The sequence below is a fragment of the Homo sapiens genome, chromosome 18 (genome assembly GCF_000001405.40).
Source record: "Homo sapiens chromosome 18, GRCh38.p14 Primary Assembly".
NCBI lineage: Eukaryota > Metazoa > Chordata > Mammalia > Primates > Hominidae > Homo > Homo sapiens.
Window position 1 is genome coordinate 64,944,927 of NC_000018.10, and position 16,661 is coordinate 64,961,587.

Sequence of the window (16,661 nt, forward strand, 5' to 3'; positions counted from 1 at the left end):
CACATTGCGGCATCATGGATAAGTGATGAAGTGCTGACCTAAAGGGGGAAAAGCCCCTTTATGAAACCATCAGATCTTGTGAGAACTCACTTACTCTCACAAGAACAGCATGGAGGCAACTGCCCCTGATTCAATTACCTCCCATCAGGCCCATCCCACTACCCATGGGGATTATGGGAACCATGGATGAGATTTGTGTGGGGACACAGCCAAATAATATCACATAGCTTACAGGAGGCTTTCCAATTTGGTTGTAAATGATCCTCAGGGGATTTTTCCTTCCATGTTTTATTAAGGCAAATTCTTGTGGAAGGAGCCAACACTTTATTTCCATAGTATTGAAGGGCCTTTGGAGTCTGGCCTAAATTTTAAAAGTCGTCAGAGTGAGGCATGTCAGAATGACTATTTCTATCAAGATCTGAATTAGTTTTTCAGGATTTCATAGCTAATTAAATGTTATAGGTGTATTAGTCCTTTCTCGTGCTGCTAATAAAGACATACCCAAGACTGGGAATATGTAAAAGAAAGAGGTTTAATTAACTCACAGTTCTGCATGGCTGGGGAGGCCTCAGAAGACTTATGATCATGGTGGAATGCACGTTTTCACAGGGTGGCAGGACAGAGAATGAGTGCCCAGCGAATGGGGAAGCCCCTTATAAAACAATCAGATCTCATGAGAACTCACTCACTATCACAAGAACAACATGGAGGAAACAGCCCCATGATTCAGTTGTCTTAACCAGGTCCCTCCAAGGACACATGGGGATTATGGGAACTATAATTCAAGATGAGATTTGGGTAAAGATATAGCAAAACCATATCACTAGAGCAGATGAATATGGGGGGAAAGCAGGCATTCATTAGCCGTTAAAACCTTTAAAAGCAACATAAGTATCAAAACCAAAAGTCAAAAATAAGGTTACATATCAAGAGAAACCAAGAGTATAGAATCAAGTAATACTGAAAAAAATTGCTTTTATATACCTCTAAGATAAAATATTTCAGCATCAGACCACAGCAACAGTTATAGCTGAAGGAGAAAAAAGATATAGAAGCTGACGATAATGCTGAAGGAGAGAGTTATTATCTCAGACCTTCTACAGAGGGAAAAAGTTCTGAAAGCAACAAGACACAACAATTGAACTTTTAGATATGAATCAGAGAAATGTTAAAAGAAACAGATTATAGAATTGAAAACTGAATGATACCTTAAAAAACTCGTTTTAATATGAAGACTATTCTTTTTTTTTTTTTTTTTTTTTTTGAGTTGGAGTTTCACTTTTTTCACCCAGGCTGGAGTACAATGGTGCAATTTTGGCTCACTGAAACCTCTGCCTCCCGGGTTCAAGCAATGCTCTTTCCTCAGCCTCCCAAGTAGCTGGGATTACAGGCACCCATCACCATGCCCAACTAATTTTTTGTATTTTTAGTAGAGATGGGGATTCACCACTTTGGCCAGGCTAGTCTCGAACTCCTGACCTCAGGTGATCTGTCTGTCTCGGCCTCCCAAAGTGCTGGGATTACAAGCATCAGCCACCATGCCTGGCCCAAAAACTATTCTTTAGAAAGAATATTATAAACAATTTTCTTTTAATTACACTGATTTCTTTCATAAGATCCCCTTCATAGACCTTACTATCATCTACACAGGCTATCTATGACATACTTGGACTTTTTTACTTGCCCTCTACCAGCTCTTTTTAAAGAAACTAGTCATTTTATTCTAGGATAAGAATTTATCAGAAAAGATTATTTCTCACATAAAATTGTTCTTCACATCTTTTGTTACTAAAAATATATATTTATATCTATAATTTTCTTCACATCTCTCTTTTTTACTCACAGGTTCCTTCACATTTCATGAGACTCATTACACAGATTTATGATTTCAAATCAAACAAAATGGTCACCTTTAAGGATCCATTCCATTCACATGCATTTAACTCTTTCTCTTTCAAAAGTTTTATTTAGACCACCTCTGAGAACCCAGATACTATGCAAAGCTAGTTACCATTCAAAGGTGTTTTAAACATTCACACTAACAAGTTCAGACTAGTCCCTTTACCCATATATTACCAAGTCATATACAATTGCTTATTTGTTTAGTTTATCAGTGCCTTTTAGATGTAAGCCAATTTGACAGTATACACAATATATGTATCTATACATATTCACATAATATCTATACACATTACCCAATAAAGTGAACCATACAAGATAATTGGATTCAAATTATTCACAAAATTGGTATGTGTCAACTTGGCTAAACTTTGTTTTCCCCAATAGGTGTGAGAGACAGGGAAAAGCAGAGAAGGGGATCCCATACTACCAAATAAAGAGGGGAAGGGTAAAACCACATTGCTTAAGGGGAGACCGTGATGGCCCTGAGCCATCAAAGAATCTATCCAATGGCAGAGACACTCAGAAAAAGTGTTTGGGCCACTTGCCTGCTGCTTCAGGAAGGTGTCCTTCAGGTCAGGAGTGGAGTTCAGGACCCCAGTAAATGCAGCTCATTGAATGGCAAGTGAAAGAAGGTTAGCTGTAGTATTGTCGGGCAGAGCTTTTTTTTCTCTTACTAAGAACGGTTAGGACATTCTCATTGCCAGTGGCCCTCTGACTCACAGTAGGCACACTGATTCTGGTCCAGGGGGCAGTGAGTTTGAGGCTTTCAACTGAGCAACCCGGACATAGGTCTCAAGAAACTTCCTCAGTACAGGTAACCCAGAGATGGGGAAGGGGCTTAAAGCAGCTGCTAACAACTGCACTTTTGGCTATTTCTCGCTTCCTCAACTCTGTTTCTATTGTTCTAAACTCCAAACGCTATGTTTCAGGGTGGGCTGATAGGGGTTTGAGGACCCATTGCTGTGTTTTTTAGCTTCCTGCTAATGTCAGGGGCAGATTGAGTAATAAAATGCATGCCCAGGAGGTTGTTTGGGCCTTGAAAAACAGTGGGATTTTTGGCTCTCCCCTGAGTTACTTCTCTACTATTTTTATAATTAGCTTAATCTCACACTTTAAAAAATATTTTCTATTTAAAAAGTTGCTATGTGGTTTCTGCACTCAAATCTTCCGAAACCCCATTGGTTATCCCATTGAGGGTCCATACTTGGAACCGCATCTCCCCCAAGGTGATAACTGGCATGGCCATTGTTATGTGCAGCCACTCCATCTGCAGATTCATGGGTGGCACTCAGAATTCTCCTCTTCTCCTCCACAGACAGCAAGTCATGCCAAGTTAAATCTAAGAACATGACAACTTAACAAACTCCTCTATAAACTTCCCTGGATTATCTGAAAACCTGCCAAATTTGTCCGTGAGAAACACCAAATCAGATTTAGAAAATGGCACATGTACTCTAAGTTTTCATCTCCATCAGCTACCTCCCACAACGTACAAGGTTTGATTTTAGGTGCTGATATGGAGCCCCATTCATGATGGTACAGTCTGGGCTTACTTCCTTGGGCAACAGGGGTATAGTCTGTGGCTATTTGGTTAAAAGGGAAGTGTGCCTAATGACCCTGGGGTGGAATCTTGGATTAGATAACTGGGAGTACTCCCCTTAGAACTGGGTGACTGAGGAGTCTCTGAGGAGGATATGAGCCTTCTAGGAACAGCATCATGGGAGGATCCCTTAGAAACAGCTTCTCAGTGCCTAAAAGTAACATGAGGCAGTAAAGGGCAATACAAGGTTTACATATGGGACCTCTACTCATTTCCCCTCTTTATTACAGATTAAGTTCAATTGCAAAACACTATTATGATGTAAAGAACCATTCTTAGGCCTAATTTTTGATCTCCCAATTTGTATTACACTGAAAAGGTGTTGGTATAGAAAATGAGTTTCTTTTTCTTTGAGCGGATTTGAATTTGCTCCAATTGCCTAAAAGACACTCTAGTGGCAAGTCCTCTGGAATGCTCGCCATTGTCTCCATGTCTAACAGGAATCTTTACCAGGAATTGAATTTTTTAAGGTCTAACAAAAGGAAAAGCAACTGGGCTCTTGTTATTTTTTTCTGTTTAGATGTTTACCTCCTGTAGAGAAGGTATAAGTACAGGTAGCGAAGTGTTAGACAAACGGAGTGTGAGATACAAGCAGGCAGTAGAGTACAGTGCTCGCTGGTGAGCAAAATGCAACAAAAGGAATATTTTTACCTAGCGAAGTATAAAAGGAAAAGTGAAAATAGAGTGACAGGACCCTAGGGCAGCAAACAGAAAAAGGCAAGAGCAAAATTTCCCTGGAGTGGGCCTGGAACCTACAATCCTAGAAGGAATGCTAAGGTTGAAAACCCCGGAGCATCCAGGGGACTGCCAATGATGCCAAGTGCCAAAAAGCCTGGATTACCCAAGTGCTGGACAACTAGAGTTCCCACACCACATGCCGAAACCCTGGAGTATCCAGGGGCAACCAATGTTGAAAACCCTGTGGGTTTCAGCATTTTCAACCCCGAGGGGCAGGCAATAGCATACCCTAAAGGCCTGGTTGGGGTGACAGAACAATGTGATTCTGACATCCCAGAGTCAACACAACAGCGACCTCACAACCAAATGTCCTGCTTTAAATAATTACCCAAATACAGTTAGCTAGGAGCTAAAGCAAAACAAAACAACAAAACAAAACAAAACAAAACATGATGCAAACAAAACATACATTTCAGAGCAAAAAATGAAATAAAATAAAATGACTGATGGAAAAAATGAAATGGCATTTTAAAAAAGACTGAGAGAAGAGGAAAAAGTATATATTATAGTTGGTCAGATATGCTAAAGGGGACTTTGAATTGATTACCTGGCCAAACGCCTTATTTTCTGGCTCACCCAATGTTGATGCGAGGAGGGTCAGTGGGGACACTCACCCATCTGCTGGAGCCAAATGGAGATGACTGGTTTGTAACTAGGCCCCTGGCTTGGATGAGTTTGGCTGCCACAAGGGAACTCGTGTATACTCTTGCAACTACCTGGCCAGAGTGCTGTGTCTCACATGAGATTGTACTGTGGCTGCTCACCATTCTCCCTGCTCCACTGCATGTCAGCAAGTATGACAGCTCTTAAAAGAGCCTTGGTTACTGTTTCAGCTCTGCAGGGTTAGAAGATCTTTATTGTTAAAGTCACTATCTCTTGACATCTACCTGTCAGATTTCCATCTCCGTTTCTTGCCATCAAGCTGACTGTCATCTCACTGTGCCGATCACTGTCTTGCCGACTCACTGATGGCTGTCTCACCATCTTGTCATCTTGCCCCATTTCTCACTATATTTGTCCCTTCAGGGTTGCCACAATGATGTAGCTGGGCAAGTGATCCTCATAATTAGTAACTAGCCCAGGAGAATTTTTGGCTTTACCGAGGAAATAATTCAAGAGCAAGGTGGCGGCGTTAAACAGCAATCACTTATTGAACCAGATCTCCTCCTTGCCCAGCAGAGCCAACTCATAGCCAGTGTGCCCAGAGCCACACTTGTGGGCTGTTGGCTAGTTCTATGTATACCCATTTTTACCCGCTATTACTTACATGCAAATTAAGTGTAGGTTAATGCCAATTAAGGGGCAGATTTTTCAGAACTTTCTAGGAAAGTGGCAGTAACTTTCAGGTCATTGACATGGAAAGAAGAGGTAACTTCCAGGTCATTGGTGTGACACGCACATTGTCATGGCACTGGCGGGGCAGGGGGGCGGGGGGAGTGTCTTATGCTAATGAGCAATTAGGGCAGCTAGGGATTGCTTTCATCACCAGCTGCTGTTTGGGTGACATTTTTCACTACATTTTATCAGAATTAGGAAGTAAGTCCTGCCAGTTTCCTAGCAGCTTAATGGTAAAAAACCATTAATCTGGTCAGATAAAATTCTCTACTTAATTTGCATGTTTTGACAGATTTGTAGAGAATTGTTTTGCTTTCCAGGAATTTCTTCCAATTGGGCCAGAATTGCATTGTGTTTATCTGTTACTCTTGATATACATTTGGTTGGGATTGTAATAATCTATACTTTTCCTTCCCAATAAGTTGAATTTTTTGCTGAAGTTTTGTTTGGCAATTGTAAGAGAACTACCAGGAAGTGCTTTTAGAGAAAATAGACCACATTTTTTAAAAACCAGAGTTTTTAGAAATGCTAAATATACTACTAAAATCAATGTTTCTATATTATTTTTTAAATAACAGTTATTTATGTCACGTAACATGAACCAATTATTATACATATTATACCTAAGCTTATGCTTAAAACTCTAAAAAAGTCTGATTTTCTGTATCATATAAGACAGACACTGGGGCCTTAAGGAATTATGTGTATTACCCAAGTGCAAGTAATCATTCAGTTGGATTAATCTGATAAACAGGTCATTTATAGTCTTTACTCAGACTTCCTTTCTTTCATGAGTAGCTGAGTTTACATGACAACTAATGAGTACTTAATACCTAGTATTAAATACTCTGATTTAAATAACATAGCCAGAGCTTTTTTCTTTGAAATATCCATGATACAGGCTACATCATTCCGTTCTTGGAGCTATTTACATTACTTTTAATAAGCAGAGTATTGATGTCACTGAGATAAGTTCCAATTGCTGTTTCTATTTTTTCCAGGCTTACTGTCATTTTGTTGAGCCTTTGAAAGATTTTAGTTAGGTAAGTTGATTTGTTAATTATTGTCATCCTTTAATATTTGTGTGGTTTGTATCATTCTGTTTCTTTTCTTTTCTGTCCCAGGGATTGTGTTTATTATTCCATAACATCTTTCAGTTTATTCTTTTCAAATTTTGTTCTTCTATGACATAAAAATTTGAACTTTTCTGTGAGGTCTTCGTCCTTGACAAGGGGGCAGATGAGATTTGAAACTTGGCCAGTTTTTATTGGTATCTGCCATCTCAACACAGAAATACAAAATCAAGAAGTTTTGTTGTTGTTCTGAGTTAACTTTATTTTGTCTTTTTTCCCATAGCTAATAAATACACACGTTGCTTACTGTGAACTGGGGAAAAAAAAAAAAAGAAAAGAGGAGACTGGTGCTATTGGTGTAGTAGTCTTTGTGATGTGGCTTCCTGGAAACTAGAAAACATACATATTCTTCCTACCTCTTCAATTGGCTAACTGGGATCTTAAAGTAGTCAATTAAACACTCTGGCCTAATATTTCTTTATAGGAAAAAATAATAGAGCCTGCTTAGATTATTTGGAGGTCCCTTCTAGTTTAAAACACACACACACACACACACACACACACACACACACACACACACACACACACACACACACACCCCAGTTGCATTTCTGGCATGTGGAGCTCTGTGACATTAAGCTGGAAACTATAAAACACAAAATACAATGTATTGGGAGCAGGACATTAAACCAGATGGAGTAGGGGGTTGAGTCTGATCCAATGAGGCAAGGACTTCAGTGACAAATCTCATGATTTTACTATAAGGGCAAGATAATAATTAAGGGTTTTGAAATGTATATACACACAAAAAAAAAAGAGACAAAGAAAAGGACAGTTTACTCTTTCAGCAGTGTGGTATAATTAAATGAGAAGCAACTAGATACACAAAGAATAGTAAGGTCATTGCATTTTATATGTAAAAGCCTTCATAAACTTGATATCTAATGATTTAGTGCATTTCTTGGGCAGATAATAAACAATTTTGAGTAAGTGATGAGGAATATTATCTAATCAAAGAGCACCAGGCCCTTTAGAAAATCATGAGTTGTATAAGAATCTACTTTAAGGAATCTTCTTTAAGAACTGGGCTCTCACACACCCAGTTAAATCCCTTTAATAATATTTATGTGAAGCAATCTTTCTACCTCTGTATCCTATTCTCCCACCAATAATAGGCAATTATGGTAGGATAAATCAACTGGGAAAAATGGGCCGAACAGTGTTCTGTCTTAGGAATGCAGACTACAAAAAAGGACTTTTGTTGTTTTATTTTGGGCAATTAAACTATGGGAAGATATAGCCTTTCTTTCTTTCTTTCTTTTTTTGCTTTTTTTTTTGTTTTGTTTTTGGTTCATTTGCAGCAGGAAATAAATATTACCTGGATAAAACAAGACAAAATTGGGACTTAAGTCAGCAGAGTGTCACGCTAAAATTAAAAATTACAAATCCAGTCTCCAAAGCATTGAAAAGCAGTGCAACGCTTTAATACCAGTTTTAGGCAGAAACCTGACAAAAAAAGGTTTTCACTGTATAAAAAATTTATAGACTTACTAATAACCTCATTTCCACACTCTCTCCCAAAAGCAACACTCCCCATGTCCATAGCTAAAATCAATCCTCCTTCCTCTCCCTGTATCACTGTCCAAAATGATTTTGTGTCACGAGGCTGTCACTCCATTATTAATTATTTCATCTCCAGTATCATTCATTTGTAAAATGATCAGTTTCTCAAGATTACTTCAAATTTTTCTATACCCCTCCCACCCACAAGGGAAGCTCTACAGGTTAACAAGTTGACAAAGTGTATTTTTATTTCACTAGGTTGCAGCAAGAGAAGAAGAGGTAGGTATTAAAGCAGCCAGTACAGAAAACTCCAATAATGTACTAAATTTGTTTTACCTGACCCTCATAGAAAAACTTGGTCTAGGTTGAGGTTATAATAAAGCAGACGAGAGGTCATAAGACTTAAGAAAGAGAGAAAGAAACTCATTTTGTTTATAATGCTAATCTCATACTTTTTTTTTACTTTTCTGACATCTATGCTTCGGAAGAAGGAGACACACTGGATTTCTAATGCAATCTCGACCCCTCCTGCCTCATTGTTCACATTTAATCAAGAGACGCTCAGTTACTCATAACTTTTAAAAGGTTGCAGTACACAGAAACAGTATAAAAGTTCATCTCTTAAAAATGAAGAGAGGCAAGTAATTTATGAGCTGTAGCAATTATTCCCCAAATTAAAATAAGCTATTATCTTCACTTGAATGAAGGAGAAATACAATTAAAACTTAGAATAACAGATGAAAATAATTGTGTCATATAGATGACTGTGTCTTATGCATTTCTTATCTGTATTTCAGAGCAAATATGTTTTATATAAATCACATTTATGAGACAGCTTTACTTCAAAAATAAATATAAATATAACACAAATATAAGCATAACAATAACCACTAATTACTTTTAAATGCTTTCCTGATACTTGAAAACTCAAGAAATTTTACGTTAAATGCTTATTTTTTACATTATGAGAATAGAACATGCTATTACATGGCGTATATAATATTTATGATATTAATTACATAGTATATATATTGCTTATATACTTAATTAAAATGTAACTTTCATGGAAACATATTTGTTATAAAACTATTCCTTCTGATTTTTTTAAAAAAATGTTGTTCACTTGAGGGAATTTATACACATATTTAAGGCTAAATAGACTAGTAGTTAGGTGACGTTAGTCCCAGATCAAGCCATGTAGCTTATTTCCCATATATAAAATGAAGTAATATATATGTATACATACCTATATTTGGCAGGGATATTGTGAGAATAAAATGAGCTTTCCCTATGAGATTGTGAGTGTTGGAAAGAGATGATTAATGTATTTGCTGCAGAATTTAAACAAGTAACATTGAGCAGACGTTGGTGACCAATCACATGGAAACAGGTGCATTAAGAACCATTTATTTAGTGAATACATATGTAACTAACCTGCACATTGCGCATATGCACCCTAAAACTTAAAGTATAATAATAATAAAATTAAATTAAAAAAAAGTTAATACCCTTTCACCTGCAAATAGATTTTTAGGGATACTTATATGTTCAAATAATTATCAGCTCATTAAACAACTTTGTGATAACAGAAAAACTTTGGCTAAAACCTGAATAATAATTTACAAAAGAGTCACTAAGTCCACTGTTGTTTATTCATATAACGCCAAGCTATGCGGTCAGCAAAGAAAGAAAAGGTAGACCTGGTTTACAAATGTGCATAGATTTTCCCAATATACTATTAAGTCATAAAAAGAAGTTCCAAAATAGAAGTGTGATATTTTGTTTTATATATATCTATATTATATATAGATATAGATATAGATATAGATATACACACACATACACATATAAAGAGAACATAATTAAATATATAAAGGACATGCCTGGAAAGCATTCCAGATGTGAGGTGTGAGGAGGGGTTTCTGATCTTACATGGTAAAATGATAATTTAATCTTACCTATAATGCCTATATTTTTAACCAGAAAATGTATGCATGATTAACTTAAATTATAAAATACATTTTTTAAAAGAGAAGTGTGTAAACATTTACTGTGCAAAATGCCAAAAGGCAAGTCAAAATAAAAAAGAAGAAAGGAAACATGTGCTCAAATGAATGAGGACAATTCTTTCACGGGGAGAAAAGCTACAAAGGGGTTTTCTGAAGAGGTGGGGAAAAGCAGTCATATTTGCATTCAAGGTAGAGTGAGAAAAACGTGGCAGAAGTATAGTTTTTAAAGAAATGAGATGGCATGGCACTTGGAAAGGCTCGAAAGATCACTTGAGAAAACACTAGCAAGACAAATTTTGGTCAAAATCATGGAATGAACTAAATAAAGAATGTCTGCTAGGGCTACCCTAATAAAATACCACTGACTGTGTGGTTTAAACAGCAGAAATTTATTTTTCACAGTTCTGGAGGTGGAGAAGTCCAAGATGAACGTGCTGGCAAGGTGGGATTTTGCTGAGGCCCCTTTTTTTGGCTTGTAGAGGTCACGTTCTTGCTGTGTCCTCCTATGACCTCCCTGTGCACTCAAACTCCTTGTGTCTTCTTGTTTTTTACATAAGGGCACCAGTCCTGTTGGATTAAAGCTCCCACCTTATAACCTCGTTTAACCTTAATTTCCTTCTTAGAAGTGCTGTCTTCAAAAACAGTCACAATTTCGTAGGCTACAACACACAAAATTGGAGGGACACAATTCAGTCTATACCATTCACCTCTGGTGTTTGTTTTATTTTGGGCTTGGAATATTATTAATGTGTAGAAAATATAATATAAAACAAGGTGGTATACTTTCTTGTAACCAACACAAAAATTAGGCGTATGTTAACATCTTCTATATTTGTTTAGGTATGTCTTTTGGAAAATAAACAATGTGTTACTGATTCAGCAAAATACTTTGCTGTCTAGTGTTTCTCTTCATCTGAATAGAGAACCACTAGTTGGAGTGTTTGTGAATTTTATGATAACATTGTCCCCACAAACAATATATGCAATTATTTTGGATTGTCTTTCAAAAGTCACATTTCAGTTATTTTCAAGAGCCTCACCTAATTTATATTCATTCATATTTATGCTTTATAAAGTCATCAACCATTAGGACACATTGATTAATTCATTTTAACATTTTAATATTTTAACCATTGCAAGATATTCCAATACGTGATAAACATTTATTTATTAACTTCTTTGCCAAAATTTTTACTGTTTGCCGTTATCGATATTGCTTCTCTGGGTAAAAATTTAACAACTATCTCAGCTATTTACCCCAGAGCCATTACACTTGAGATGCTGGCTCTGGATTTATTTTCCTCTAATGGTGTTCTCTGGAATGCGGTAGTTTAAGAAAAATGAAATGTTGATTTGTGTCATGTTGTACTAAGGCAGATTGTACTCTATTAAAATTGTTGTGAGATCCATGATTAATGAGAATCATCCCGAGAGTTGTGATCAATATCTTACTCCCAAAGGGCTATGCAATAACCACAGCAGACAGAGGTTTGAGTAATGGACAGCGATGTTGTCTGGATTTGCTGCAGTGTGTAGGTGCTTCAGTTTCATTTCCAGCAACTTAGCCCACAGCCTGGGTAAAGTGGCCTGGAGCCTGTACCTAGTATGTTACAAGACATTCTAGACTCTATATGGTAAAATAGTTGGGGGTAACAAGGTTTGGTGAGGTAGTGTTAAATTTTTATTGTGTGAAAGCATGTCAATCCAACTTTAATTTTTTACATAGAACTTAACTTGTCAACGCAGAGTAAAAAATATAATTCTGTGGAATTGGCAATGGGTGGAAAAATTAAAAGTGGCAAAACTGAAGGGAAATGGCACACACACACACACACACACACACACATCTGCTCTCCATGGTTACTTTGAAGATGATTATTGAAAGTAAAGCCATTATCATGGGAGAGGAAGACAGAGCAGATTGGTTTAAGGCTGGTGTTTAAAATCAGAACCCATTAATTTGCCATCTAATGTTCTTTAGGGTATTTGGTATAACAGCATACATAACTGCTGTGTCATACCACTGAGATTTTTAATTTGGAAATACAGCCCAAGCTCCAGGTAAGAATAAACAACTCATTAATAAAACTAAAAAAATACAAGCTGTTACATATAAACGTAGAGTTACTTTGGAGAGAAATACCAGCCCTTACCCATGGAATCTTTATTGTCATAAGCTCTCAAATTGAAATATCAGAGTCATAACTTTATAATTGATATTAGATACCTCAGAATAGCAGGGATTATATGAAATATTACTAGATTCCTATTAGATATGATTTTTGGTGTTCAATTCATTCTCAGAATGTAGTGGCTTTGCCCCTGTTAGAGTGGATAAAAGCCACAGTTAAATGAATCTACAACAAACAAGAGAATTGTATTCTTTCATTGTCTCATGCAAAATGAAACCTACCCCCAAAGAAGTCTAAACAGTGTTTGATTAATTATGATATGATAATTATGTGACTTCCCTATGATTATACCCACTATCCAAACTTTAGCGAATACAGTTGCTAATGCTAAGTCTTCCTCACCTCCTTTTGGGTAAACAGAGGCCATACAGGACACAGAAAACAATTTTTTTCCCAATTAATTAGCATTGTGAACATAAAAAAGTTACAGCAAGTCAGAAAAGTAATTCAAATAGAGTGGACATATATTAAGTAGCAAAGAAAGTATCAATATGTTCCACAGACCATAAGTAATAAAATTATATTCTTTGATTACAATGCAATGAAATTGCATATTAAAGAAAAAGTCTCCTCTGCCTAGGAATGTTTAAAAATAATAATAATGACAAGAACTCTCTGATAACAATTTTTGAGCACAAGGAAAATTTACACTGAAGCAGAAGAATTTATATAACATTGATAATGAAAACTACTTCATATCAGAATTTTGGAATATATTTAACCACTGATTACAAAAAAGTGTAAGTATAAAAATAAAATAATAAAAATAAAGTAATTATTTTTTTCACTCAAAAGCCTAGAAGAGGAACAAAAAACTAAATTTAAACAGAAAATAAAAATTAAAAAGGAATAATTAAGTAGAATCAATGGCACAGAAAATCCCCTAAATGTAGAATTAATATGCTAAATGTTTGTTCTTCAAAAAATTAAAACTGGAAAAACCACTGAGTAAATTAAGTAAGGATAAAAGGGGAAAAGCACAAATATTCAGAATTTAAAAAGCGGCAAAAAGGAAATAGTCATCGAAGCATAAGTAAACAAAATGATATATTATTTACAAAATCAAATCTTTCACAAATACTGTTCGATTTTGCAGCTGTAACAGCAATATTTGACAAACATCTATATATAAGTAGGTTATTTCTCATATTTACTTATTTCAAAAAACATGCATAAACATACTAACATGTATGCTTTTGTATCGTTGGAGCTATGTCACTGGGTACATTCCCAGAAGCTGTATTGCTGAATGGAATGGTAAATGTATTTGTTCCATGAGGTATTTTGCAATCTTATTTCATTCTCCAGTTAAAGGAGCAGTAAATTGCTGAGCATATGACTGATTATATGTCTAGTTCAGGAGAAATACAAGGTGAGCCTTAAACCTCTTGTGTGAGACAGCCAAACATTTAAAAACATTGATGGGACTTTTAAAAGGACACGGGAGCCAATTTGAAGAGGTGTGCAGTGACCAAATTAGGAAAAAAAAAATTAAACATTGACTTTTAAATGATAGCCTGAGATATAACCCATTGAATAAAATAAATCAGTGGTTCTATATAAATATATTTTAACTTAGGAATGAAGAGAACAGAAAGTCACTCAAGATATACTTATTAATAAGTTTAGAAAGAATGATGGAATAAAAATTCTCTTTTTACAGTCATTCAACAATAGTTGATTTATCAAAAAATTATCAACAATTGCTAAAACCAAGCCAATTAATTAAACTGACCAATTAATAAAATTTAATTGAGAAACAAAGTCACCAAATTTAAAATATTATCACACAGATTACATACCAATAATAAACAGAATAAGTTATGTTTACAATAGATAAATCTGATCACCATGACTCAAAATAAATGGATACCACGTGGCCCCATTTTGCAGTCTAAAAAAAAATAAAAAATATAGTATTTGGGGCAAAAAAATTATTTAACATGACTATATTTTAATAAGTGCTTTCAGAAAAATCCAAATTAAGAGTATTGTAAAAAAAATCTGTTTTGGGTTTTTTATAAATGCCAATGAAATTACAAACAAAACAAAAAATATTGCTTAAAATTTTGGTCATAAGAGATAAAGGACAGGATGATTTTAACCTTGATTGGATCATGGATTTAAAAAATAGCTATAAAGAATACTTCTAGGATAATTTGGGATATTTGATCATGCATTTTAAGTTAGCATGACATGATAACCGGCAGTATTAAAGTGCAATTTCTAATGTTTAATCACTGTATGTTGTGGGTTGTAAAGGGGAGTGTACTTTTTATTAGGCAAAAATGTGCACATTGCCCATTAGGGAGAATTATATCTGCAGCTCATCAAATATGTGTGATGTCTGGGGAGAGATAGAAAGAGTGAAAAGAGCTAGTGCTCAGATGTGGCAAAATAACAATCAGCATACGTAGGTTACAGGTATATGGATGTGCAACTTTTCTCTTGGTTTTAAATTTATTTAATTAAATATTGGAGTAGAACAGATGACATTAGTTCGTAAAAAACATATTATTCTGGGCTTTACTGGGGTTCTGTAGTTAAAACCCATAGAAGAAAACAAATTTGACAGTGACCAAAAAGTAATATTTATAACAAATATTTGAAATCAACATGTCAGATGTTAAGATGGAAAGACAATTGATGATAAATATATATTAGATTTAAATATTCTTGCAAAAAGATGTACTGCAGTATAATTGTCAGCACTTTTGTATGAAATAATATATTTCTAAAGGGAAAGTACATCATTTATTAGGACAATATATGTTCTAAGTTTGCTTTTAAACAAGATAACACTTATAATTTGGCTTATTACATGAGAAAAGTGATTAAATTCAACATATAATAGGAAGAAAGCATGTTTTAGCAATACTGATATTTAGAAAGAAAAAGTTGTGTTCTAGGCTACCAAAATTAGTGTTAGGTTAAAACATTTATAATTAATTATTTCACAGTAAGAAATAAGTGAAAGACTAAAATATAGTATACTTTTCTGCAGATATCAATAAGAATAATGTTATATGTGTATATATGTGTGTGTGGAGAGAGAGAGAGAGAGAGAAAGGGAAGAAAGAGATAGTGAGAGACAGGAGAAATTATAGCAGAAACAGGAAAATTCTAAAGTAAGAATAAATAAGGAGTTTGTTCTCAGGTTCTCAGATTGAGTCCATGATGAAACATAAAAGCATGAAATCACTACCTGTAGGTAACTCTGGTTGTGCGAGAAGGAGAAGAGGGGTTGGTGTGGTTAGAAGAGATGAAAGACTAGCAGAAATAAAAAGTCAGGTAAGATTGTGCCAAAAGAGGATTCGTGGATAATGGATATTTTTGCAGATTTCATCAAAAAGCATAGGAAGATTAAGAGAGAAAACAGTCTGTGGATCACTGCCAGGGACTTGATAATGGATGAAGGGACACGATTTTATAGGAGAAATCATAGCTTTGGAGTTGAGCATCTTGATCATTTGGTGAAACAAGTGAGATAAACGACATTTGGCAAAATTCTTTAACATTCTGAATGTTCCTTTGGCTGATGTTTGCAAGGGCAAATGGCAGAGGTGACATGATAAACACAAGCAAATAAGTGTAACATAAAAGATTTAAAATTAGGAAAGAATCTTTTAGAAATGACAAGGAAGTGATCTGAAAAACATTACAAACAGGAATTTCATAGCATGGTTAGAAACACATAAATCATAATGGCATAAATAGTAATCACAATAACCTAACAAGAACAATCATAGTAGTAGAAATAATAATTAATTATATAGCATCTGCAATTTGTCTGACACTATTCTAATGATTTTGTACATATTCAATGCCCCAAATTTGTATTTTATGAAGATACAAAATTGAGATAATACAAATACTATTTTCATTTCATAAATGAAGAGACTGGACAAAGACAGGATGAGTATCATATACAATATCACAAAGAACCCAAGTAAGCTGGTTACAGAGTTCATGGTTTTGTTTTGTTTTGTTTTTTTGTTTTTTTTGAAATGGAGTCTCATTCTGTCACCCAGGCTGGAGTGCAGTGGGGTGATCTCTGCTCACTGCAGCCTCTGCCTCTCAGGTTCAAGCGATTCTCCTGCCTCAGTCTCCCAAGTAGAGTAGCTGTCATTGCAGGAGTGCACCACCACACCTGGCTAATTTTTTTATTTTTAGTAGAGACAGTGTTTCACCATGTTGACCAGGCTGGTCTCGAACTCCTGACCTCAAGTGATTCATCCTCCTTGGCCTC

The 16,661-nt window shown here is 35.4% G+C and overlaps 2 long non-coding RNA genes across 7 annotated transcripts in view; one reads left to right on the forward strand and one right to left on the reverse strand.

The window, feature by feature from the left end:
• LOC107985178 (uncharacterized) overlaps positions 1 to 6,716 on the forward strand; it is a 125,185-nt gene extending 118,469 nt beyond the window's left edge. Inside the window, exon 5 of the long non-coding RNA XR_001753480.1 lies at positions 6,577 to 6,716. This is a non-coding gene — a long non-coding RNA (uncharacterized LOC107985178). The remainder of the gene's footprint in view (positions 1 to 6,576) is intronic.
• Positions 1 to 16,661, reverse strand: part of LOC101927404 (uncharacterized) — a 121,424-nt gene that overhangs the window by 73,313 nt on the left and 31,450 nt on the right. The gene's annotated exons all lie outside the window — the stretch shown is intronic.